Consider the following 21981-nt stretch of genomic DNA (forward strand, 5'->3'; position numbering starts at 1 on the left):
GAGCCAAGATTGCACCATTGCACTCCAGCCTGGGCAACAAGTGTGAAACTCCGTCTCAAAAAAAAAAAAGAATAAGTAAATATGTATTTAAAATTTTATAAATTAAAAATTTATATATATAAATTTTTTTCAGAGGTTGGGGTCTTCCTAGGTATATATATATTATATATTTTTTCTCTAAAAATTATATATAAATTTATATATATTTAAAATGTTAAAAATTAAAAATTTTATAAATTAAAAGTGCAAATTAAAAAATATATATATATGTGTTTTTTTTTTTTTTAAGAGAGGTGGTGGGGGGGGCGTCTCACTAGGTTGCCCAGGCTGGTCTCGAACTCCTGACCTCAAGCGATCCTCCCACCTCGGCTTCCCGAAGCACAGGATTCCTTCTTTATACATACTTCTCTCATGTCCATTATTCCTAGAAACGTGGATGATGGATGTGTCTCCTCCACGCTGCCTCCAGGCGCTGTTTATCATGAGAGAAAGTGGCCTGTGGTTTGCACCTCTTCTCTTTATAAAGCAAAACCACCTAAATTCTGGACACATGCTATAATCAGCTTAACTTGTTTTTAATTATGGTAAAGGCACAGGACTAAACGCCTATTCAATTTGACTCAGTTTTCTAGGGGAACAAACCCAATGTCACTCCAAGTCTGCAGACACACCGAATAGGATTACATTTCCAAAGGACTGGAACCGAATTGGGTGGTCACATGAGAAGCTAATTTCCGACACTTCGCATAAATAGTAGCATTGGTGGAGAAGGGTGACTGGGAGAAAAAAGAAACTCAATGTCAGCAAAGTGACTGAGCTTCAACGTACAACAATGCAACAAGAAACCTTTCAGCTTGCTTTTGCATAAAGCTACATTTTTAAAATATTTGCGTTTTCATGAAAATCTTTTTTTTTCTCCTCACAAATATTTTCCTGGTGAAATCAGTGCATTTCCAAGTGAAGGACCAAAAGCAAAATGTTAGAAAAACCTACTGGGCAGTTGTTTGTGTTTGAAGTCCTAGATGATGGGAAAGGTCCCGTGGGGGTACTGAGGCTCATGGCAGCTTCAGCACAGCCAGGCCTTTCTCTGTTAGCCTAGTCCTGGCTGCGGGCAGAACCCGGTCTGTGGTGTTTCAGCAGGAAATACTGCACTGAGTTCAGGTATCAGTCCATATCTTCAGCTGAGACATTCTGGAATTATCGTCACTGTAAGAATCCAGAAGAGGAGAGGGATGGACGCTACATTGTTCTCTGCTTTTTTCTCTAAATCCAGAATGTTCTTTTAAGACCTCTTTTGAAAGTATTTTCTTCTCCTGGGTTGCCATTCCCCATCTCATTGCCTAGCCATGTGTGTCTTGTCTTGAGATGCAAGAAGGGGCCAGGCGCGGTGGCTCACGCCTGTAATCCCAGCACTTTGGGAGGCCGAGGTGGGCAGATCACTTGAGGTCAGGAGTTCAAGACCAGCCTGGCCAACATGGCAAAAACCCTTCTTCTAAAAATACAAAAATTAGCTAGGCATGCTGGTGGGCACCTGTAATCCCAGCTACTTGAGAGGCTGAGGCAAGGAGAATTGCTTGAACCTGGGAGCCGGAGGCTGCAGTGCGCCAAGATCTTGCCACTGCACTCCAGCCTGGGCAACAGAGTGAGACTCTGTCTCAAAAATAAATAAGATAAAATAAAATAAAATAAAATAAAAACCATAGCATGAGTTTCAGAATAGGTTTTTCTTTTTCTATAAAAAAAATCCTTTGGGATTCTGATAGGGATTGCATTGAATCTTTAGTACTGTCACGATGAACATTTCTTAACCCTGGCAGTGCATTCAATTACCTGGGGAAAAAAAGATACAAACCCCAGTCTGATCCCTAATTCCCACCACCATTTTGATGTAATGGCTGTAGGGTTGGACCCAAGCCTCACGAATGGTGCATCCATGGTTTTGCTCTCTTCTCTGCAATGACAATTTAGCTCTCCTTGGCTGAACAGTACATGTGGTCCTCCGGGATGGACCAGGTCCTGCTGACCTCTTCAACCACATCTCTCGCTATTTCCCACAGGCATGGATGCTCTACCCCAGGTAACTGAAGGACTTCAAGTTCCCTTTCTCCACGTTGGTAGATAGTTGCCACTCCACTGTCTGGCACACCCTTTTCCTTCTTTTCTTTTTATTTTCTTTTCCTTTTCTTTTCCCTCCCTCCCTCTCTCTTTCTCTCTTTGATTTTTTCTTTTCTCTTTCTCTTTCTTCTCTCTCTCTTTCTTGTTTTTGAGACGGAGTCTCAATCTATCACCCAGGCTGGAGTGCAGTGGTGACATCTCAGCTCACTGGAACCTCCACCTCCCGGATTCAAGTGGTTCTCCTGCCTCAGCCTCCCTAGTAGCTGGGATTACAGGCGTATGCCACCATGCCCAGCTAATTTTTGTATTTTTAGTAGAGATGGGGTTTCGCCATGTTGGCCAGGCTGGTTTCAAACTCCTGACCTCAAGTGATCCACCCGCCTTGGCCTCCCAAAGTGCTGGGACTACAGGCGCGAGCCACCATACCTGGCTCCTTTTCCCACTTTCTTAACAGCCAACTCCTCCTTCAAGACTTAGCCGACATGGCAACACCTCCAGGAAGACTTTGAGACAAGAAATAGCTTTAGCCTGGTCTTCTCGTCTATGAGCCTCTGGCCATCTCTCTCCGTCTTTCTTCTGTTCTCATTCTTACCTGCCTTCAAAGGGCTTCCGCTCCACTTGGCCTCCCGGCTGTTCTAACAGGCCTGTCGCACTGCTGCTCTCCCGTCTCTACCTCAGAATTATCTTCCCAGGGTCGGCCTGGCTCAGTGCTTCCACTCCTCTAGGTCTTTGCTCATCTGTCATCTCAGGAGGCCTTTTATCACCCATCCTAGCACCCCCTTCCACTCTTACCTGCTTTTTCGTGTTGCTTTTGTTTTTTTCTGAGATACAGTCTCACTCTATCACCCAGGCTGGGGTGCAGTGGCATGATCTGGACTCACTGCAACTTCTGCCTCCCAGGTTCAAGTGATTCTCCTACCTCAGCCTCCCGAGTAGCTGGAATTACAGGTGTGCGCCACCATGCCCAACTAATTTTTGTATTTTTAGTAGAGACGAGGTTTCACCATGTTGGCGAGGCTGGTCTTGAACTCCTGACCTCAAGTGATCTGCCCACCTTGGCCTCCCAAAGTGCTGGGATTACAGGCATGAGCCACCGCGCCTGGCCTTCCCTGCTTTTTTTCTGTAGCACTTTGAATCATCTGACAACTTAAATCGTTTACTTTGTTTACCGTTTCTCCTCCTTTAGAACTCTGGCTCACCACTTTATCCCCAACACTTAAAATTCAATGAATATTGTACCTGTAGGAAAAGGCGGGGGGGGGGGGAAGAAAGGGAGGAGGGGGATAAAAAGGAAGGATTAAATGTCTTTCAAATTTCCCCGTTTTCATAAAACAGCACTGCTGAGACCCCTGACAACCTTGGACATCTCCACATAGCCACAGAGCCAAGGCCTGACTGCGGTCTACCCTGAGTCCTCGCCGAATGCCTGTGATTTCCCTGGGAGCAAGGCAAGGCTTCCCTTTTTTTTTTTTTTTTTTTTTTGATTGAGTGCAGGAAACTTTATTGATGGTACACGACAAGGTGAGGCTCCCATGGTGTCTCCCTCTTCAGGGCGTCTGCGTGGAAACTGTGAGGAGGGGAGATTCTCAGTGGGGGCGGGGGCTGAGTGGGGCAGGGACTCCGCAGCAGTGAGAGCCTCTCTCGTCCTCTCGTGCTCTCACTGGGGCTGGTGGTCCGGGGGTCTTACTCCTTGGAGGCCATGTGGGCTCCGCCACCCTGTTGCTGTAGCCAAACTCACTGTCATATCAGGAAATGTGCTTGACAAAGTGGTCGTCGAGGGCAATGCCAGCTCCAGCATCGAAGGTGAAAGAGTGGGTGTCACTGTTGAAGTTGGAGGAGATGACCTGGTGCTCGGTGTAGCCCGGGATGCCCTTGAAGAGCCCTCTGAAGCCTGCTTCACCACCTTCCTGATGTCATCCTATTTGGCAGGTTTTTCCAGATGGCAGTTCAGGCCCACAACTGACACGTTGGCAGTGGGGACACAAAAGGCCATGCCAGGGAGGTTCCCATTCAGCTCAGGGATGACCTTGCCCACAGGGCTTCCCTATCTTGTGGGAGAGTCTCACAAGGCTGTTTCTCATCCATGTCCCTAGTTTAGTTGAGACTAGGGCTTTCCATCTTCCCCTTCTTTCTCCGCACCCCCTACAACCTGCTCCACTTTAGGATGGAGCCGCAGGCTTCTGTGTAAATCTGTAGAACTGCTTGCTGAAGTTTAGTTTGTTCCTCGACAGAGTGACCCACCACTCATAAGACCTGTCATCTGACCTCTGAGATTGGGAATGCTGTCCCATGGGATTAGAGATGCAGGGAGCTGACATCATGTTGGTCTTGATTTTGCTGTTTTGTGAGACCTGCGAATTGCTCAACTGCTTGAAACTCCTCACCTTCACTTGTCTCTATGGACACAGATATTCTTTGGAGTACTATACCGTTCCAATTAGTAAAGCTTTCAGTATTCATTTTGCATCTCATCATTAAAGTTTATTCTTAGTAACTGATTTAAAATAATGAATTGTTTACATAACAACTACTGTTACATAACACACACACACACACACACACACACACACACACAAACACACACACACAGCTAAGGTCAGAATACCATGGAGGAAAAGAAGAATCTGGTGGTCAATTCCCTTACATTCTTCTATTGACAAATTTTCTTGTTGGGACCTTCACTTATTTCATCAAAGGATTGTGGCTAATGATCTAATTTATTACTCAGAATCTTTTTATTTATTTGTTTTGGAGACAGGGTCTCACTCTGTTGCCCAGGCTAGAGTGCAGTGGTGTGATCATAGCTCACTGTAGCCTCCACCTTCTATGCTCAAGCAATCCTCCTGCCTCAGCCTCAGGAGTGGCTGGGACTACAGGCACACACCACCATGCCCAGCTAATTTTTTTTTTTTTTTTTTCTGTAGAGACGGGGTTTCGTCATGTTGCCTAGGCTGGTCTTGAACTCCCGGGCTCAAGCAATCCTCCTGCCTCAGCCTCCCAAAGTGCTGGGATTACAGGTGTGAGCCACCACAGCCGGCCATCACTCAGAATCTTAAGTCATTGTCAAATAATGGAAAGCATACAAATCAAACAGTAGTCCAATTCTAGAATTAATATAAAAAGAAAGCTCTAATATACAAAGACCAAACAGATTTTACAGGATAAAACAACTGTCATTAAAAAGTAAAACTGGCAGGTGTGGTGGTGCACATCTGTAATCCCAGCACTCTGGGAGGCCAAGGTAGGAGCATTACTTGAGCCCAGGAGTTTGAGACCAGCCTGAGCAACATGGCAAGACCCCGTCTCTACAAAAAGTACAAAAATTAGCCAGGCATGGTGGCATGCTCCTGTAGTCCCAGCTACTCAGGAGGCTGAGGTGGGAGGATCACTTGAGCTTGGGAGGAGGTTGCAGTGAGCTGAGATGGTGCCACTGCACTTTAGCCTGGGCAACAGAGCAAGACCCTGTCTCCAAAAAAAAAAAACCGTTTCTTCAGAATAGGATATCAAATATGTAAAGTAATAATTTGAGAAACATGAAAAAGCGTTATGTGTAAAGAAAATCAGAAGACTTAATCTGTATTAGTTTAATGTAAAAGCATGCACATATGTGAAACAAAGTAGAAGGGAACACTAAAGAAAAAAATGGGTGTGATTGGGTCATGGGAGAATGTTTTTTACTTTTTGGTTGTAATGTTTGTGTGATACAAGAGGGACAGAAATTACTTTCGAAATGTACTTGTTAATTTTAGCAAAATCCTCGTGGAAATTATACTGCTAGTTTTAAAATAAAACACAAGCACTAAAATAATAAAGGTTATGTTTCATTTTTATTAACTTAGTTTTGCCACGGTTGAGACTGGATTTGCCATAGTTCAATTTATCAAGCACTTAACTATGTGTTCCGCACATAATAATCATCTTAGCATAGAGGAACATGTCTTCTAATCCGCACAAGAGATACTATTTTTATCACGTCATAGAGGAGGTTAATAAACTTGCCTAGGTCATAAGATCTTCAGTTGATGAAGTTAGGATTTCAACCCAGAGCCAAGTAATGTAATGGCTGATGTTTTCCACAGAGAAAATGTAAGCCGAGATGATGCTCAAACTATAAATCTGGAACCTTAGGGGGACAAAAACGTATGGATGTCTCCTTCCCATTACTTTAGCATTTTAATTAGATTCCTGTGTCTCTATTTGTCTTTGGAAATGCAAGCTGCTTGCAGTTCATCATAGCTAACTCACACAATTCATTTTATGAAACACAAACCTGTTCTCACAAACTCACTGTCATCTCTTTTTAATCTTTCTAATTGTGATAAAAATCATACTGCACTTTACCCTGTGTAACCTCCAATGATCTTTGACCAAAAGCCAAATCTTTTTTTTGTTGTGTTTACTTATGGACAGTTAGGTTCTACATAGGTACTTAAACATGAAAATTGAAATCATAGAGGCTGGGCACAGTAGCTCATGCCTGTAATCCCAGCACTTTGGAAGGCCGAGGTGGGCGGATCACCTGAGGTCAGGAGTTCGAGACCAGCCTGACTAACATGGTGAAACACCGTCTGTACTAAAAATACAAAAATTAGCTGGGCTGGTGGCCCGTGCCTGTAACCCCAGCTACTCCGGAGGCTGAGGCAGGAGAATCACCTGAACCTGTGAGGCGCTGGCTGGAGTGAGCCAGGTTCGCGCCATTGCACTCCAGCCTGGGCAACAAGGGCAAAACTCTGTCTCAACAACAATAATAATAATAAATAAAAGAAAGAAATCACAGAAACTATACCAGAAAATAGGATACAAAACCAACAGTGAGGAGATTGAGAAAAGGAGGCAGATACGTAAAGAGGAAAAGGAAGGGGGCCCAAGTAAGGCCGGAAAAAGCGGGGAGAAGGAGGAGGCTCATTAGGTCAGAAGCAACCTGCCGTCTTCTAAGTTCTGGCCAAGGGTAGATCAACAGATCCAGATTCCTGAGCTTTAAAATGTTATTCGGCCGCTTCATCACTTGTCCCCGACTTTGCAGCGACTCCGATGGTAGCCTGAGTCTCCATTGCTTGGAGCAGCCACAGTGGACACTGGACGGGATATTCTGTGCAGCTGTTGCTGAACTCAAGGCAACTCTTACTGCCTTTCTCTTTTCGGGCTCAAGATTCCCTGCATTATTGCCCATAGGCATGTGTTTTACCCCATACTCCTTCTCCCTTTTATCTTGATTTTCGCGGTGCTGGGGAGTCTGCAGGGATTCCATGGCGACGGGCTCACTGGGACAGGGGCTGGGGTTGTGCGTCCCTGAGGCAAGGCAAATACAGAAAAGCGAATAGAGACAGAGGGCTAAGATTCCAAAGCACTGAAAGGTAGAAACTGGGTTAGAAGAGAGAGGGGAGCACAAACGCCCGGAGAGAGCGAGCCCTCGGGATACCATTGGCTATAGGCTGGCCTCCGAACAACTGGACGGTCCAAGTCCTGAGCGTCTGGTTACCCGGGCAACCGCATGGTCTCGCGATACATACCTCGCGCCTGCGCACTGCCCCTGTAGCGGGGGTGGGGGGACCCGGTCCGGAGACTCCACCCCGGGGCCTAAACTCGAGTCTAAAAGATTGGGCCTCGTTGTGTCGTTTCCGGGTCGCGCGACGCTGTGGGCCGCTTTCCCCTCTCCGGAGTGACCTAACACAGGATAACGAAACCTGCACTGCTCCGAGCGCTTCCTCCCCGGCCCGTCGCGTCTGCGAGGCGAGGCCGGGAGGCGAGGGCTCTGCGCACGCGCGGCGCAGGCGCACTGGGCGCCGGTGCTGTTGCCTTCAGGTGACCACGGATTCGCCATCGTGAGTTCCAGGTGGGCGCGCGGGGCCCACGTAGGGCAGGAGGCCAGCCCCGGGGGGATCGGGCCCGGGACTCTGCGGAATCTGGAGGCCGAAGCCCGCGCGCACGCAGGGTCTCTGCTGCTTCCCCAACGCCTGTTGCGTGGCCGCAGGACCCGCCGCCCTCCCGGTTGGGCCGCCCAGTCCCGGGCCGGGCGCGTGCACCCAGAGCTTCCGCGTTTCTAGTCCGGCTCCTCTGCTGGATTGCAGCGCCGGCTGGGCACCAGGAGTACAAAGCGAAAACCCCCGCCGGCCCTTCTGTTCTCCACGGTCTCCAAGGAGACACGGACAACAGAACAACACTTCCGTGTGCTAAATAGTAAAGCACCAAGGTACTCGATCCAGGGGCGGCGTGCAGTGGGGAGGTGAGCTTTGGGTCGGCCGTCGCCCCTCGGCTACCGGCGGGATCCAGAAACCGGGAGTCACCACCAATACCGTTCTCAACTTTACTTCCAGCTGGTCACTACTGTGTCGGGAGATTCTACCTTCTTTTCCGACTAACATGTATTTTTCTCCAGTCCTTTCTGCGGCGTCTCTAGTGCAGGCCACCGTCATTTCTAACCTGGACGACTCCAGGAGCGTCTTTGCTGCTCGGGGACTCTTCCTTTGCCCAGATCCACAAAGATCTATAACGTCTTTCTAATCACGACACCTCTGCTTTAGATGTTAAAGTTGCTTCACACTGGAACGCTTGCAAAGGTCTTCATTATCTGGTCCTTACCCACCTTTCCTAGTTTCTCACCGCTTTCTCTAGCATCTCTGCCCCAGCCACATTGAACTTATTTGAACGTGTTTTTTTTTTTTTTTTTTTTTTTGAGACATAGCAGTCGCCCAGGCTGGAGTGCAGTGGCGCGATTCCGGCTCACTGCAACCTCCGCCTGCCGGGTTCAAGCGATTCTCCTGCCTCAGCCTCCCGAGTAGCTGGGACTACAGGCGCCTGCCACCACGCCCGGCTAATTTTCGTATTTTTAGTAGAGACGGGTCACCACGTTGGTCAGGCTAGTCTCGATCTACTGACCTCAAGTGATCCGCCCGCCTGGGCTTCCCAAAGTGCTGGGATTACAGGCGTGAGCCACCTCGCCAGCCAACTTATTTCTTTTAATACTGAGATACCTTTCTTTACTCCATACTTCCTTTGGTAGGCATTGTTTAGATGTAGGTTAAGAGGTCCGGCCCGGCGCGGTGGCTCACGCCTGTAGTCCCAGCACTTTGGGAGGCCGAGGCGGGCGGATCACAAAGTCAGGAGATCGAGACCATCCTGGCCAACATGGTGAAACCCCGTCTCTACTAAAAATACAAGAATTAGCCGGGCGTGATGGCCCGTGCCTGTAGTCCCAGCTACTCGGGAGTCTGAGGCAGGAGAATCGCTTGAACCCTGGAGGCGGAGGATGCAGTGAGCCGAGATTGTGCCACTGCACTTCAGCCTGGCGACAGAATGAGACTCCGTCTCAAAAAAAAAAAAAAAAAAAAAAGTTCCTCTGTGAGGACTGCCTTTTCCCACCCCCCTCAACTAAGCTAGGCCTCTGCTGGATGTTCCCTAAGCATACTGTTCCCTGACCTTCATGTGCATCAGGCTTTATTGTATAATTACTTGCTAATATTTTTTCCTCGTGGACTCTAAGCTCATGAGGTCTGTGAGAAAAAATACTTAATCTTTATGGCCTGGCACATCGTGGATAATCGATAAATATTTGTTGAAGAAAGGAAGGGGCCTGCGGCTGAGGGTGGGAGTGGTATTCCAGGCAGAGGGACTAATGTGTATAAAGACTTGCAGGTGGGAAAATGCTGGCCTCATTAAATAGTATGTTGTTCGGTGTTGAGGACTTGTGCTTGGTGGGGCCTAAGGAGAAAGAGGGCCTAAGTGGGAGATTGAGCTGGAGTGTGGAGGGCCTTTTATGTCACATTAGAGTTTAGGCGGGGCATGGTAGCTCATGCCCTCAATCCCAGTACTTTTGGGGAGGCCGAGGCTACGGGATTGCCTGAGCCTAGGAGTTGAAGACCAGCCCAGGCAACAAAGCAAGACCTTGTCTCTATAGAATTTCTTTTTTTTTTTTTTTTAAGACGGAGTCTTACTCCATTGCCCAGGCTGGAGCACAGTGGTGCAATTACGGCTCATTGCAGCCTCCGCCTTCTGGGTTCAAGCAATTCCCCTACCTCAGCCACCCACCTAAGTAGCTGGGATTACAGGTGTGCACCAGCACTCCTGGCTAATTTTTGTATTTTTAGTAGAGACTGGGTTTCACCATATTTGCCAGGCTGGTCTCGAACTCCTGACCTCAAGTGATCTGTCCAGCTTGTCCTCCCAAAGTGCTGGGATTACAGGTGTGAGCCACCGTGCCCAGCCTATACAGAAAATTTAAAAATTAAAAAAATTTTCTGGGCTTGGTGGTATGCGCCTATAATCCCAGCTATTCAGCATGAGGCTGAGGTGGGAGGATTGCTTGAACCCAGAAGTTCAAGGCTGCAGTGAGCCATGATCGAACGACTGCACTACTGCCAGGTGACAGGGCAAGACTGTCTAGTAAAAAGAGTTTGCCCTTGATCTACAGGCAGCAGAGGCCTCTTGAGACAGCTCTAAAGGGCCCTCAGCAAAGCCTATTTTTCTCTCTTTCTCTAAAGCTATAAAATCTTATCAGTCAGTACTTTGTTTCTGGATTATATTGCGTGAGATTATGCTTATCCAGACTACTTGGCTCTCTTTATCGCCCCAGCAGATTCTGCAGGTGGGACAAGTTTATAGCCTGTTTTGTGATCCCTCTGGAGCATGATTTTAAGTATTTATTCTGTGGTGTTTGGATGTGGAGACATCATCTGACTTGCAGTTGGCAAGAGCTCTGCCCCATCCTATTTGTTTCACCCCCTGTCACTTATTTCCCTCTTCCTGACCACTTTGAACCTGATGCCAGCCCCTCACAGTCACTGCATTGCATCTGGATGAGCCACTTTTCTTCCTGATTTCCTGAGCTCTAGGGGAGCATAGAGATAATGGGGTCAGGGGACACAGTGTGGCCACCGTGAAGGAAGCAGCTTAGGCCCCAGAAGTCTCCAGGATTGCTGTACCGAGATGACCAGGGTGTGATCTCTCACCCTAAGGAGCTGAATTTGGCTTTTCTGTGGGAAAGTGTCTGGGAAGAATATCAGAGACCAATAGCGCTCAGGGGGCCCTTTCTCGGGGCTGTCCAGTGTGGAAACACCCTGTCCTACACCAGTGGTTCCTGATTCCGGCTCTGAATCAGATTCACGAGGGCAACTTTTTTTTTTTTTTTGATATGGAGTCTTGCTGTCGCCCAGGCTAGAATGCAGTGGCGCGATCTTGACTCACTACAACCTCCGTCTCCTGGATTCAAGAGATTCTCCTGCCTCAGCCTCCAAGTAGCTGGGATTACAGGCAGGCACCACCATGCCTGGCTAATTTTTTTGTATTTTTTAGTAGAGACGGGATTTCGCCATATTGGCCAGGCTGGTCTCGAACTCCTGACCTTATGATCCGCCCGCCTTGGGCTCCCAATGTGCTTTGGTTACTGGCGTGAGCCACTGCACCCGGCCTGGGGCAGCTTTTTATAAGCACAGATGCCCAGGCCTTATTATTGAAGATTCCAATTCAGTAGATCTGGGTTGAGGACCAAGCATCTGCATGTTTTAAGAAGCCACAGGTTATTTTTGAGGTGTAGCAAGGATTGAAAGAACAGAAAACTTGGATTTGGAAAACTAGTTGTGACTTTAGGCAGTGAGTCAGTTTCCTAATGCACACATTGGGGGATTCTATAGGAATGCTGTAAGAAGCAAATAATACATGGAGAGAGTGCTTTATACAGCGATACACTGCACAGACACACTTGCCTTCAACATCAGCTGCCAGCCTAGTAAGTGGTAGTATAAATGCAAAGGATATAACTTCCTTTAGTTTTGCCAGGTGGGTCCCTGTGATTCTAGCTGAGCCCCAGGAAGGAAGGGAAGAAAACTGAGGGAAGAGAAGGGAGTGTGTAGTTGCCTCTGGGAAGGATAAAAGGATATGCCCTCTGGACCAATAGTTTATAACATTTTCCCCATTAAGCATCCTTCTACTCATTTTTCCTCAATGGATTAGTATCTTTAAATTTCATTACATTTCCCTAGTCTTCATGGAATTGCCAGCCAGAGAAGTCAGCTCGGGGTCCCCCTAAAAAGGAGGACTGGCCGGGAGTGGTGGCTCGTTCCTGTAATCCCAGCACTCTGGGAAGCTGAGGTGGGTGAATCACCTGAGGTCAGGAGTTCGAGACCCGCCTGGCCAACATGGTGAACCCCATCTCTACTAAAAATACAAAAATTAGCCAGGCGTGGTGTTGGGCACCTATAATCCCAGCTACTCCGGAGGCTGTGGCAGGAGAATCGCTTGAATCTGGGAGGCAGAGGTTGCAATAAGCTGAGATCATGCCATTGCACTCCAGCCTAGGCAACAAGAGCAAAACTCCGTCTCAAAAAACAAAAAAAAGGGAGTGTATGCCTGCATATGTATCAAATGCTGTAGGAAGGATATTCAAGAAATTTAGGGCCCTGGGAGGTGGGGAGACTTACAAAAGTGGACGTGACAGTGTTATTTGAAGTTTTAATCATGAGATGACTGTTCAGTTCTTTAAAATATCACACCTGATTGGTTGTGAATGGCAGAGGCCACCAGAGTATTTGCAGATTGGGAGCTCTACGTGGGTGGACATCGGGTCTTGCTTACTGTGAGCCCCAGGACCTAGAACACCACTTGCATACTGGAGGTGCTCAGATCATTTTTTTTTTTTTTTTTTTGCAGACAGGGTCAGATGTGTTACTGGGCTGGAGTGTGGTGGCACAATCACGCTCACTGCATCCTTGACCTCCTGGGCTCAAGTGATCTTCCCACCTCAGCCTCCCAAGTAGCTGGGACTACAGGTACGCCTCACACTTAGCTAATTTATGTATTTTTTGTAGAGGGTTTCTCCATTTGCTCAGAGTGGTCTCGAACTCATGGGCTGAAGTGATCTGTCCACCACAGCCTCCCGAAATTCTGAGACTGAAGGCATGAGCCAGTGTGCCAGGCCTAGAATATTTGTTGAGTGAATGCATGGAAGCCCAACTAGATAGCATTTTGGAAAACAGTAACAAGTTAGAAGATTAATACCATACAGTCACTAGAAGGTTAATTATGAACAAGTAGAAACAGAATATTTTTAATAAATGAAATAGACAAATGGAATTGTACTATGATTGCAATAATTAAAACTTTCACATATTGCTTGTATAGGAATAAAGACAAAGTCATATAAAAAAATGGGGAAAATTAAACACTACTCACCCATAGTCCTGAGTATTTTAAAGAGCCTTCGTAGAGCATTCAAAATCGGGTAAGAAAAATGGGGAAAAATAAAATTACTTAATCTTTAAAAGGAAGACAAGCGTATGCTCACCTAATTGGACTTATATAATCAGGCTTGCTCTAGCTTATCCAGAATCAGAGTACAGGCCGGGCGCAGTGGCTCATGCCTGTAATCCCAGCACTTTGGGAGGCCGAGGTGGGTGGATCACCTGAGGTCAGGAGTTTGAGACCAGCCTGGGCAACATGGTGAAACCCTGTCTCTACTAAAAAAAAATAGAAACATTAGCTGGGCTTGGTGGCGGGCGCCTGTAATCCCAGCTACTCGGGAGGCTGAGGCAGGAGAATCGCTTGAACCCAGGAGGTGGAGGTTGCAGTGAGCTGAGATTGTGCCACTGCACTCCAGCCTGGGCAACAAGAGTGAAATTCTGTCTCAAAAAATAAATACATAAATAAATAAGAATCAGAGAGTACAGTCAAGATATTCTTAAGTCATGCAGTTGTCGCTAACATGAATTTTTTCTGTTGTCATTTTGCTTCTTGGAAGGATTTTCAAAATGGCTGCAGCTCCTCAAGCACCGGGGCGGGGATCTCTCCGTAAGACGAGACCTCTGGTTGTGAAGACGTCGTTGAACAACCCATACATCATCCGCTGGAGCGCTCTGGAGAGCGAGGATATGCACTTCATCCTACAGACGCTTGAGGACAGGCTTAAAGCTATTGGACTTCAGAAGATTGAAGATAAGAAGAAAAAGAACAAAACACCTTTTCTGAAAAAAGAAAGCAGAGAGAAATGCAGCATTGCTGTTGATATTAGTGAGAATCTGAAGGAGAAGAAAACAGATGCTAAGCAGCAAGTGTCAGGGTGGACGCCTGCACACGTCAGGAAGCAGCTTGCCATTGGCGTTAACGAAGTTACCAGAGCCCTGGAAAGGAGGGAACTGCTGTTAGTTCTGGTGTGTAAATCAGTCAAGCCTGCCATGATCACCTCACACTTGATTCAGTTAAGCCTAAGCAGAAGTGTCCCTGCCTGTCAGGTCCCCCGGCTCAGTGAGAGAATCGCCCCCGTCATTGGCTTAAAATGTGTTCTAGCCTTGGCGTTCAAAAAGAACACCACTGACTTTGTGGACGAAGTAAGAGCCATCATCCCCAGAGTCCCCAGTTTAAGTGTACCATGGCTTCAAGACAGAATTGAAGATTCTGGGGAAAATTTAGAGACTGAACCTCTGGAAAGCCAAGACAGAGAGCTTTTGGACACTTCATTTGAAGATCTGTCAAAACCTAAGAGAAAGCTTGCTGACGGTCGGCAGGCTTCTGTAACATTACAACCCCTTAAAATAAAGAAACTGATTCCAAACCCTAATAAGATAAGGAAACCACCCAAAAGTAAAAAAGCTACTCCAAAGTAATCTTGCATAAACTTGTCATGTCATACAGTTTGTGAAAGGACACCTTGTAAAGAAGCCTTGAAACTAATAAAATGAGTTATACTTACATAGATTCATAGGGTCCTGTTTGGTAATATTCAAATGTGTAAGACTCTTTGTAACTATGGCACAGATATACTAAGTGCAGGAAATATTCAAAATTAGGAATAGCCAAACAGACATTTATTGAAACTAGTGTTCATGCGTGTGTAAATTGACTTTTTCTTTTTCTTTTTTTTTTTTTTGAGACAGTTTCACTCTTGTTGTCCAGGCTGGAGTGCAATGGTGCGGTCTCAGCTCACTGCAACCTCCTCCTCACGGGTTCAAGCAATTCTCCTGCCTCAGCTTCCCAAGTATCTGGGACTACAGGTGCGCACCACCATGCCTAGCTAAGTTTTGTATTTTTAGTAGACACGGGGTTTTACCATGTTGGCCAGGATGGTTTCCGTCTCTTGACCTCGTGATTTGCCCACGTCAGCCTCCCAAAGTGCTAGGATTACAGCTGCGAGCCACCGTGCCTGGCCTTTTTTTTTTTTTTTTTGAGACAGAGTTTCGTTCTGTCGCCAAGGCAGGAGTGCAGCGGCGCAATCTCGGCTCACTGCACCCTCCACCACCCAGATTCAACGATTCTCCTGTCTCAGCCGCCTGAGTAGCTGGGATTGCAGGTGCCCACCACCACACCCAGCTCATTTTTTTGTATTTTTAGTAGAGATGGGGTTTCACCATGTTGGTCAGGCTGGTCTCGAACTGACCTCGTGATCCACCTGCCTTGTCCTCCCAAAGTGCTGAGATGACAGACGTGAGCAGCCGCGTCCAGCCTAAATTGACTTTTTCAAAGGCTGGTAGAGTGCCTGTGAGCAAGAATATCTGTGTCATACAACGCTTAGCATTTTCCTATCAAACCTGGAAAATGTACCACAGTAAATGTTCTAGTCAGTCAGGTAGATGGAACTGAATTGGGGAAGCATTATCAGTTTTAAAGGAAAGATCCCAAATGCCAAGCAATCCATTGTCTTCAGAAGCAACACATCATTTTTCACTTCATGTCAATTTGACTTTTAGGAAGGAATAGACATGAGCTTGGGAGAAAGACTTAATATTTAGAGAAAAAATATCAAAAATATAGAAAAAGTCAGATAAGGTTATTTTGACTGGGTACAGTTCACCCCCATTACGTGATTCACTTACCTCCTTGGAAATCTAACGTATAAAAGGTATGATGGTAATTGGATGAAATGTGGCCAAAAGATTAAAAAAACTGAGGAGCTTGGGTTCTCAGAGGTGGGTGTGTGACAAGAGTCCTTCAGGTTAGGAGATGGAGCATAACCGATGCTCTGTTAGAGTGTCTGCTGTTTACAGTGTGTATGGAAAAGTTACTTTCTGTAATTTAGAAGGAAGGTATTTACTAAAGATTTTTCCAGCTGAAAGTCTGGCTGACTCATGGATTATGCCATCTCTCGATTTAAATTTTACTTAGTGCCATCTTGGCCAAAAAGAAGAAAAAAAGATACCTTATTGAATAGAACATTTTCATTATAGACAAAGTACAGTACAATGCAGTTTTAAATCTACAAGAAACTATCCATTGCATTTCAATTTAGTTTTAATAGCTACTTCATAAGCAAGCAGTTTAATTCTCGAAAATGTTAATTAGTAATCTGCTTCAATTATGGAGGCAAATGTAGTTATTATTCTATTTAAAAGTGGTTAATAATTTGATAACAAATTATGTAAATGACTCTTTAAAGGAGCAGTGTAACTGTCACCGTGAGGTAAGCTCATGACAAAGTTTCCAACTGGCAATGCTGCAGTTATTTATTTTACTTTCGAGATAGAGTCTCACTCTGTTGCCCAGGCTGGAGTGCAGTGGTGTGATCCCGGCTCACTGCAACCCCGCCTCCTGGGTTCAAGCGATTCTCCTGCCTCAGCCTCCTGAATAGCTGGGATTACAGGTGCACACCCCCATGTCCGGCTAGTTTTTGTAATTTTAGTAGAGATAGGGCTTCACCATGTTGGCCAGGCTGGTCTCAAGACTCCTGACCTCAAGTGATCTGCTCACCTTGGCCTCCCAAAGTGCAGGGATTACAGGTGTGAGCCACCGTGCCTGGCTGATTCTGCAATTATTTGAAAACCTACTTTGTATAGACTTTGTGGCATGAAAATGAGTGGGAAGTAAAGTCCTAAATTAGAGCCTTGACTCCAGGTTAAGTCAAAATCTCATTTACTTAATGCTGGTATCTCAAACCCTGTTCCAGTGAATGAGGACTGTTTTGTTTCTTGAAGCCTTTCTCCTGTTAAGAAAGAACGCTAATGCAATTAGGGTGGAACCATCTGAAATTCCAAGTCTTCCATTATCTCCAAGAGAGGTCCTATATTATGTACTACTGTGGGGCCCAGTCGCCCTCTGGTGGTAGTCTCAGGGATGTCACAGCTGTGGGTTGGTCTTTAGAATCACGGCAACCTATAGAAAGGAGAGTTCCAACTCCTTCGTAGTGACCAAGGTCAACAAACTTTCTGTAAAAGACCAGAGAGTGAATATCTTAGGCTTTGCAGGCCACACAATCTGTCACAACAACTCAACTCAGCTTTGTAGTGTGAAGCAGCCATAGGCAATATGTAAATGAAAGTGGCTGTGGCCAAGAGTGGTGGCTCATGTCTATAATCCCAGTACTTTGGGAGGCCAAGGCAGAAGGATCACTTGAGGCCAGGAGTTAAAGACCAGCACGGGAAACATAGCAAGACCTTGTCTCTACAAAAAATGAAAAACTTAGCCAGGCGTGGTGGTATGCACGCCCAGCTAGTTCTTTTTCTTCAAAAAGACGCTGAAGCAGGAGGATCATTTTAACCCAGGAGTTTGGGGCTGCAGTGAGCTGTTGACTGTGCCACTGTATTCTAGCCTGGACAATAGAGTGAGACCCTGTCCTAAAAAAAAAAAAAAAAAAAGTATGGCTATGTTCCAATAAAACCTTATTGAGGGACACCGGAATTTGAATTTTGTGTAATTTGCACATGTCACAAAATGATGTCATTTTTTGGCTTTTTCTCCTCAACCATTCCAGAAAATAAAAACATTCTTAGCCTGTGGGCTACACAAAAATAAGCAATGGGCTGGATTTAGCCCACAGGCCATAGTTTGGTGGCCCCTGCCTGGGATAAGATATGATTGGTTTCACTGGACTCATAACTTGAAGGAAATGCCATCATGTCTAAAACAATTAACTTCTGCACTGAACTTCCTAGGCACTGGCCCAGTAAAAGCAGGGAAAAGTATCTACTTTTGTTTTTTGAGACGGAGTCTTGCACTGTCACCCAGGCTGGAGTGCAGTGGCACGATCTTGGCTCACTGCAACTTCCGCCTCCTGGGTTCAAGTGATTCTCCTGCCTCAGCCTCCTAGCAGCTGGGATTACAGGCACCCGCCACCACACCCAGCTAGTTCTTTTTGAATTTTTAGTAGAGATGGGGTTTCACCATGTTGGCCAGGCTGGTCTCGAACCCCTGACCTCAAATGTTTCGCCCGCCTTGGCCTCCCAAAGTGCTGGGATTACAGGCGTGAGCCACCACACCCAGCCAAGGCATCTACTTTGTGGTATCTGAGTTGAGGCCAGGCTACGTGGCCTCGGTTAGCATCTTATTTTTCCCGCAGATTATTGGCAATATAAACACACATCTGTAAGCCATGAAAGTTTTTCAAATTCTAGATTAAAAACACCATCAGTAACAAAATTATGAATACTTATTTACAAATAAGACATTTTCCATTAGCATGACACATGACAGTTTTCATGATAAAATCAGCATAGAGGAGTATGTGCAATTTTGCATAAGTAATAAAAACATTCAAACTATCAATGCCCTGATAGCACGAATAAGTTCCACCAGGCATCTCTTTTGACTTTACAGTTTTTTATTTCCTTTTCTTCATATATCCTTGATGTTGCTGAGAAGAAACTGAACTTTGCACAACAGCAGAAAAGTCTAGTTAGTCGCGGGTACAGGCTCTTTCTTTTTTTTTTTTTTTGAGACGGAGTCTCACGCTCTGTCACCCAGGCTGGAGTGCAGTGGCTCGATCTCGGCTCACTGCAACCTCACCTCTCAGGTTCAAGCGATTCTCCTGCCTCAGCCTCCCAAGCAGCTGGGACTACAGGCACACGCCACCACGCCCGGCTAATTTTTGTATTTTTAGTAGAGATGGGGTTTCACTATGTTGGCCAGAATGGTCTCGATCTCCTGACCTCATGATCTGCCCACCTTGGCCTCCCAAAGTGCTGGGATTACAGGCGTGAGCCACCACGCCCGGCCTCAGGCTCTTTCAGAGAGCACAGTGAGTGCTTGCACAAAACTCTGCTTTTGAAGCAATCCACTGACCTGGTAAAGATCAAAGTACAAACTTGCATGTTTATTGATTCGGCAACTCTGCTTATGGAGAAATACATGTACTAGTCACCAGTACATTTTAATATTGCTCTGCACTTAAACAACCACCACCTGTCACTGAGCTACAGAAGTGTTGATTCCATAAATGTTCCCAGTGATACCATGTAAGGTGATACCAGTAAAAAAAATTTCCAAATGGATCTTTTGTTCTGTTACATGGACAAATGTACCATCACTTAAGAAACAGAAATGCAGCAATTTCTCTCCACACAATAGCAAAGATTTTCTTACATGACTCTGTAACTTCTACTTAGTCCATAGAAAAACAGTCCCTTTTCTAAGGGTGAAAAAATACCTCTTCAAGAGACAGGCAAAAATTTGAAAATTACAAGAATGTGCTCTTTGTAGCCTTTCATCCCTCCCACAAATAGGTCAACAGTAAAAAAAGGATGAAGTTTAACATTCTAGCTAGAAACGTACAAATGTCACATGTGGACTTTTGTCATCTTTTCTGATTATCGACTACTTCAATTTCACTTGAGTTGTGCTTTTATTCTTCTTTGGAATGGCAGTTCCAGAAATCATTAAATATTAACAAATGATGATGTCAGAGTTCTAGAAATAAAAATATCCATCTATTGTAGTACTAGTCCAACCTGAAGGGAGGGAAGAAATGGAATAGTAAGAAAAATTAGATTGCAATGTAGTACAATAGATCTGTCTTTCTAAAAGCTGTCTTAAGGCTCAGCTCACACCTGTAATCCCGGCACTTTGGGAGGCCAAGGCAGGCGGATCACCTGAGGTCAGGAGTTTGAGACCAGCCTGGCCAACATGGTCAAACCCCATCTCTACTAAAAATGAAAAAATTAGCCAGGCATGGTGGTGGATGTAATCCCAGCTACTCGGGAGGCTGAGGCAGGAGAATCACTTGAACCTGGGAGGCGGAGGTTGCAGTGAGCTGAGATCATGCCATTGCACTCCAGCCTGGGGGACAGAGCGAGACTTCATCTCAAAAAAATAAATAAATAAATAAATAAAATGAACAAAAATAAAATAAAGCTGTCTTAAGTCTAAGTGAAGCAAGTATGAAATTGTCTAGGTACATTTGTTGAGTTTACAAGGGCTATATCCATTTCACTTACCTTTTCAGAATCTGTACCTGGACACCTCCAATTGTACAGGTAATACTGCAAATTGCCATCTCCTATACCAAACTTGAGTTTTTCCAAGAATGTCTTATTTTCCATCAAATCCAGTGCATTGAATACATCAAATCCTTTCTGCCAATTTAAAAAAGATTTAAAATTTAAAACAAAGGACTAGTGTTTTCTGTATTACATATCTCAGTTTAACAATTCTACTAATAGCTCGAATATGCATTTCTAATAGGATTTAACGTCCGTGATATATAGCATAGGTTAAGAATTCAGGGCCGGATGCTGTGGCTCATGCCTATAATCCCAGCACTTTGGTAGGCTGAGGTGGGTGGATCACTTGAGGTCAGGAGTTCGAGACCAGCCTGACCAACATGGCGAAACCCCATCTCTACTAAAAATAACAAAAATAAGCCAGATGTGGTGGCGCACACCTGCAGTCCCAGCTACTCAGGAGGCTGAGGCAGGAGAACTGCTTGAGCCTGGGAGGTAGAGGTGGCAGTGAGCCGAGATTGTGCCACGGCACTCCAGCCTGAGCGACAGAGTGAGACTTTTTTTTTTTCTTTCTTTAAAAAGAGGAAGAATTCAGTTGAAAATTGTCTTATAAAACTAGCAGTGTGGCTGGATGTGGTGGCTCACGCCTGTAATCCCAGCACTTTGGGAGGCCAAGGTGGGAGGCTCACTGGAGCCCAGGAATTTGAAACCAGCCTGGGCATAGGCTGTAGGTATAGGTGTAGGTGTAGGTACAGGACATTGTCTCTACAAAAATAAAAAGATTGACTCGGCATGGTGGTGTGTGCCTGTGGACCCAGCTACACAGGAGGCTGAGGCAGGATTGCATAAGCCGAAGAGGTCGAGGCTGCAGTGAGCTGTGATTGTGCCAGTGCACTTAAACCTGAGCAACAGAGTGAGCGCCTGTCTCAAAAAACAAACAAACTATAGTGAATCCAATGAAGTCAGCATGAAAATTCAGAAACGCTGAATCCCAAAAATGTTAAAAATGTAGTATGATGGCTGTCACTGGCATAAAATTACTTATGAAGATTTCAGAAAATATTTTATTTATGTTTTATTTATTTATTTTTAAATTTTTTTGAGATGGAGTCTCACTCTGTCATCCAGGCTGGAATACAGTGGCATGATGTCGGCTCACTGCAACCTCCACCTCCCAGATTTAAGCAATTCTCCTGCCTCAAACTTCCTAGTAGCTGGCATTACAGGTGTGCACCTCCATGCCCAGCTAATTTCTTTGTATTTTTAGTAGAGACCGGGTTTCACCGTGTTGGCCAGGCTGGTCTTGAACTCCGACCTCAAGTGATCCACCTGCCTTGGCCTTCCAAAGTGCTGGGATTACAGGCATGAGCCACTGCACCCAGCCTCGTTCTTGTTTTAGAAGGGAACAGTTGTCAAGATGGTTTCATCTCCAGGATTATTAATTATTAGCCTTTCTAAGTCCTACCTTGGCTGAAGCTATTGCCCAGGGACCAAAGTTGTAAAGACTTTAAATAGTATGCAGGCCGGGCGTGGTGGCTCACGCCTGTAATCCCCGCACTTTGGGAGGCCGCAGCAGGTGGATCACCTGAGGTCAGGAGTTCGAGACCAGCCGGGTCAATATGATGAAACCCTGTCTCTACTAAAAATACAAAAATTAGCCAGGTGTGGTGGCACACACCTATAGTCCCAGCTACTCTGGAGGCTGAGACAAGAGAATCACTTGAACATGGGAAGC

The 21981-nt window shown here is 45.7% G+C and overlaps 2 protein-coding genes, 1 long non-coding RNA gene and 1 pseudogene across 19 annotated transcripts in view, besides 5 other annotated features; 1 reads left to right on the forward strand and 3 right to left on the reverse strand.

Moving 5' to 3' along the window:
• Positions 3597–4152, reverse strand: GAPDHP45 (glyceraldehyde 3 phosphate dehydrogenase pseudogene 45; annotated as a pseudogene).
• On the reverse strand, positions 5924–7858 carry RPP38-DT (RPP38 divergent transcript). Its single transcript, NR_160789.1, has 2 exons — positions 7626–7858; positions 5924–7404 (listed from the first exon to the last, which is right to left on the reverse strand). It is a non-coding gene; the product is annotated as an RPP38 divergent transcript (long non-coding RNA).
• Positions 7439–8010: an enhancer, noted in NCBI's record as "H3K27ac hESC enhancer chr10:15138899-15139470 (GRCh37/hg19 assembly coordinates)". NCBI's record gives its function as "activates a minimal SCP1, AML or CMV promoter by ChIP-STARR-seq in naive H9 embryonic stem cells {active_cell/tissue: H9 hESC(naive)}" and the evidence as "EXISTENCE:reporter gene assay evidence [ECO:0000049][PMID:30033119]".
• Positions 7439–8171: a biological region, named in NCBI's record as "H3K27ac hESC enhancer GRCh37_chr10:15138899-15139470".
• Positions 7812–8171: a silencer, noted in NCBI's record as "silent region_2168". NCBI's record gives its function as "represses an Ori minimal core promoter by ATAC-STARR-seq in GM12878 lymphoblastoid cells {active_cell/tissue: GM12878}" and the evidence as "EXISTENCE:reporter gene assay evidence [ECO:0000049][PMID:35858748]".
• On the forward strand, positions 7894–14796 carry RPP38 (ribonuclease P/MRP subunit p38). Of its 10 annotated transcripts, none has more exons than XM_017015479.3 (3): positions 7894–8672; positions 12757–12875; positions 13844–14796. In XM_017015479.3, the coding sequence occupies exon 3, from the start codon at positions 13854–13856 to the stop codon at positions 14703–14705; it is 852 nt and encodes a 283-aa protein (XP_016870968.1). In that variant the 5' UTR covers positions 7894–8672; positions 12757–12875; positions 13844–13853; the 3' UTR covers positions 14706–14796. The 10 variants fall into 10 exon arrangements, with proteins under 10 accessions (XP_016870968.1, XP_006717426.1, NP_892117.1 ...); XM_006717363.3 differs by having other exon boundaries at positions 7894–8338; NM_183005.5 differs by having other exon boundaries at positions 7894–8305.
• Positions 8312–8401: an enhancer, noted in NCBI's record as "active region_3090". NCBI's record gives its function as "activates an Ori minimal core promoter by ATAC-STARR-seq in GM12878 lymphoblastoid cells {active_cell/tissue: GM12878}" and the evidence as "EXISTENCE:reporter gene assay evidence [ECO:0000049][PMID:35858748]".
• Positions 8462–8601: an enhancer, noted in NCBI's record as "active region_3091". NCBI's record gives its function as "activates an Ori minimal core promoter by ATAC-STARR-seq in GM12878 lymphoblastoid cells {active_cell/tissue: GM12878}" and the evidence as "EXISTENCE:reporter gene assay evidence [ECO:0000049][PMID:35858748]".
• Positions 14797–16238: 1442 nt separating the features above from the next.
• NMT2 (N-myristoyltransferase 2) overlaps positions 16239–21981 on the reverse strand; it is a 62994-nt gene continuing 57251 nt past the window's right edge. For 5 of the 8 annotated variants that reach the window (XM_006717539.5, NM_004808.3, XM_017016951.3 and 2 more), the window contains 2 exons: positions 20241–20378; positions 16309–19754 (listed from right to left, as the gene is read on the reverse strand). In XM_006717539.5, coding sequence (XP_006717602.1) covers positions 19734–19754; positions 20241–20378 — 159 coding nt within the window. In that variant the 3' untranslated portion in view covers positions 16309–19733. Of the gene's footprint in view, positions 19755–20240; positions 20379–21981 lie in introns of all 8 variants that reach the window. The other 3 variants (XM_047426019.1, XM_005252642.6, XM_017016949.3) reach the window with 1 other exon arrangement.

Source organism: Homo sapiens, chromosome 10 (assembly GCF_000001405.40).
Source record: "Homo sapiens chromosome 10, GRCh38.p14 Primary Assembly".
Classification (NCBI taxonomy): Eukaryota; Metazoa; Chordata; class Mammalia; order Primates; family Hominidae; genus Homo; species Homo sapiens.

Coding starts and splice junctions, on each gene's coding strand:
- RPP38 (XM_017015479.3), top strand. CDS start 13,854: ATGGCTGCAGCTCCTCAAGCACCGGGGCGGGGATCTCTCCGTAAGACG.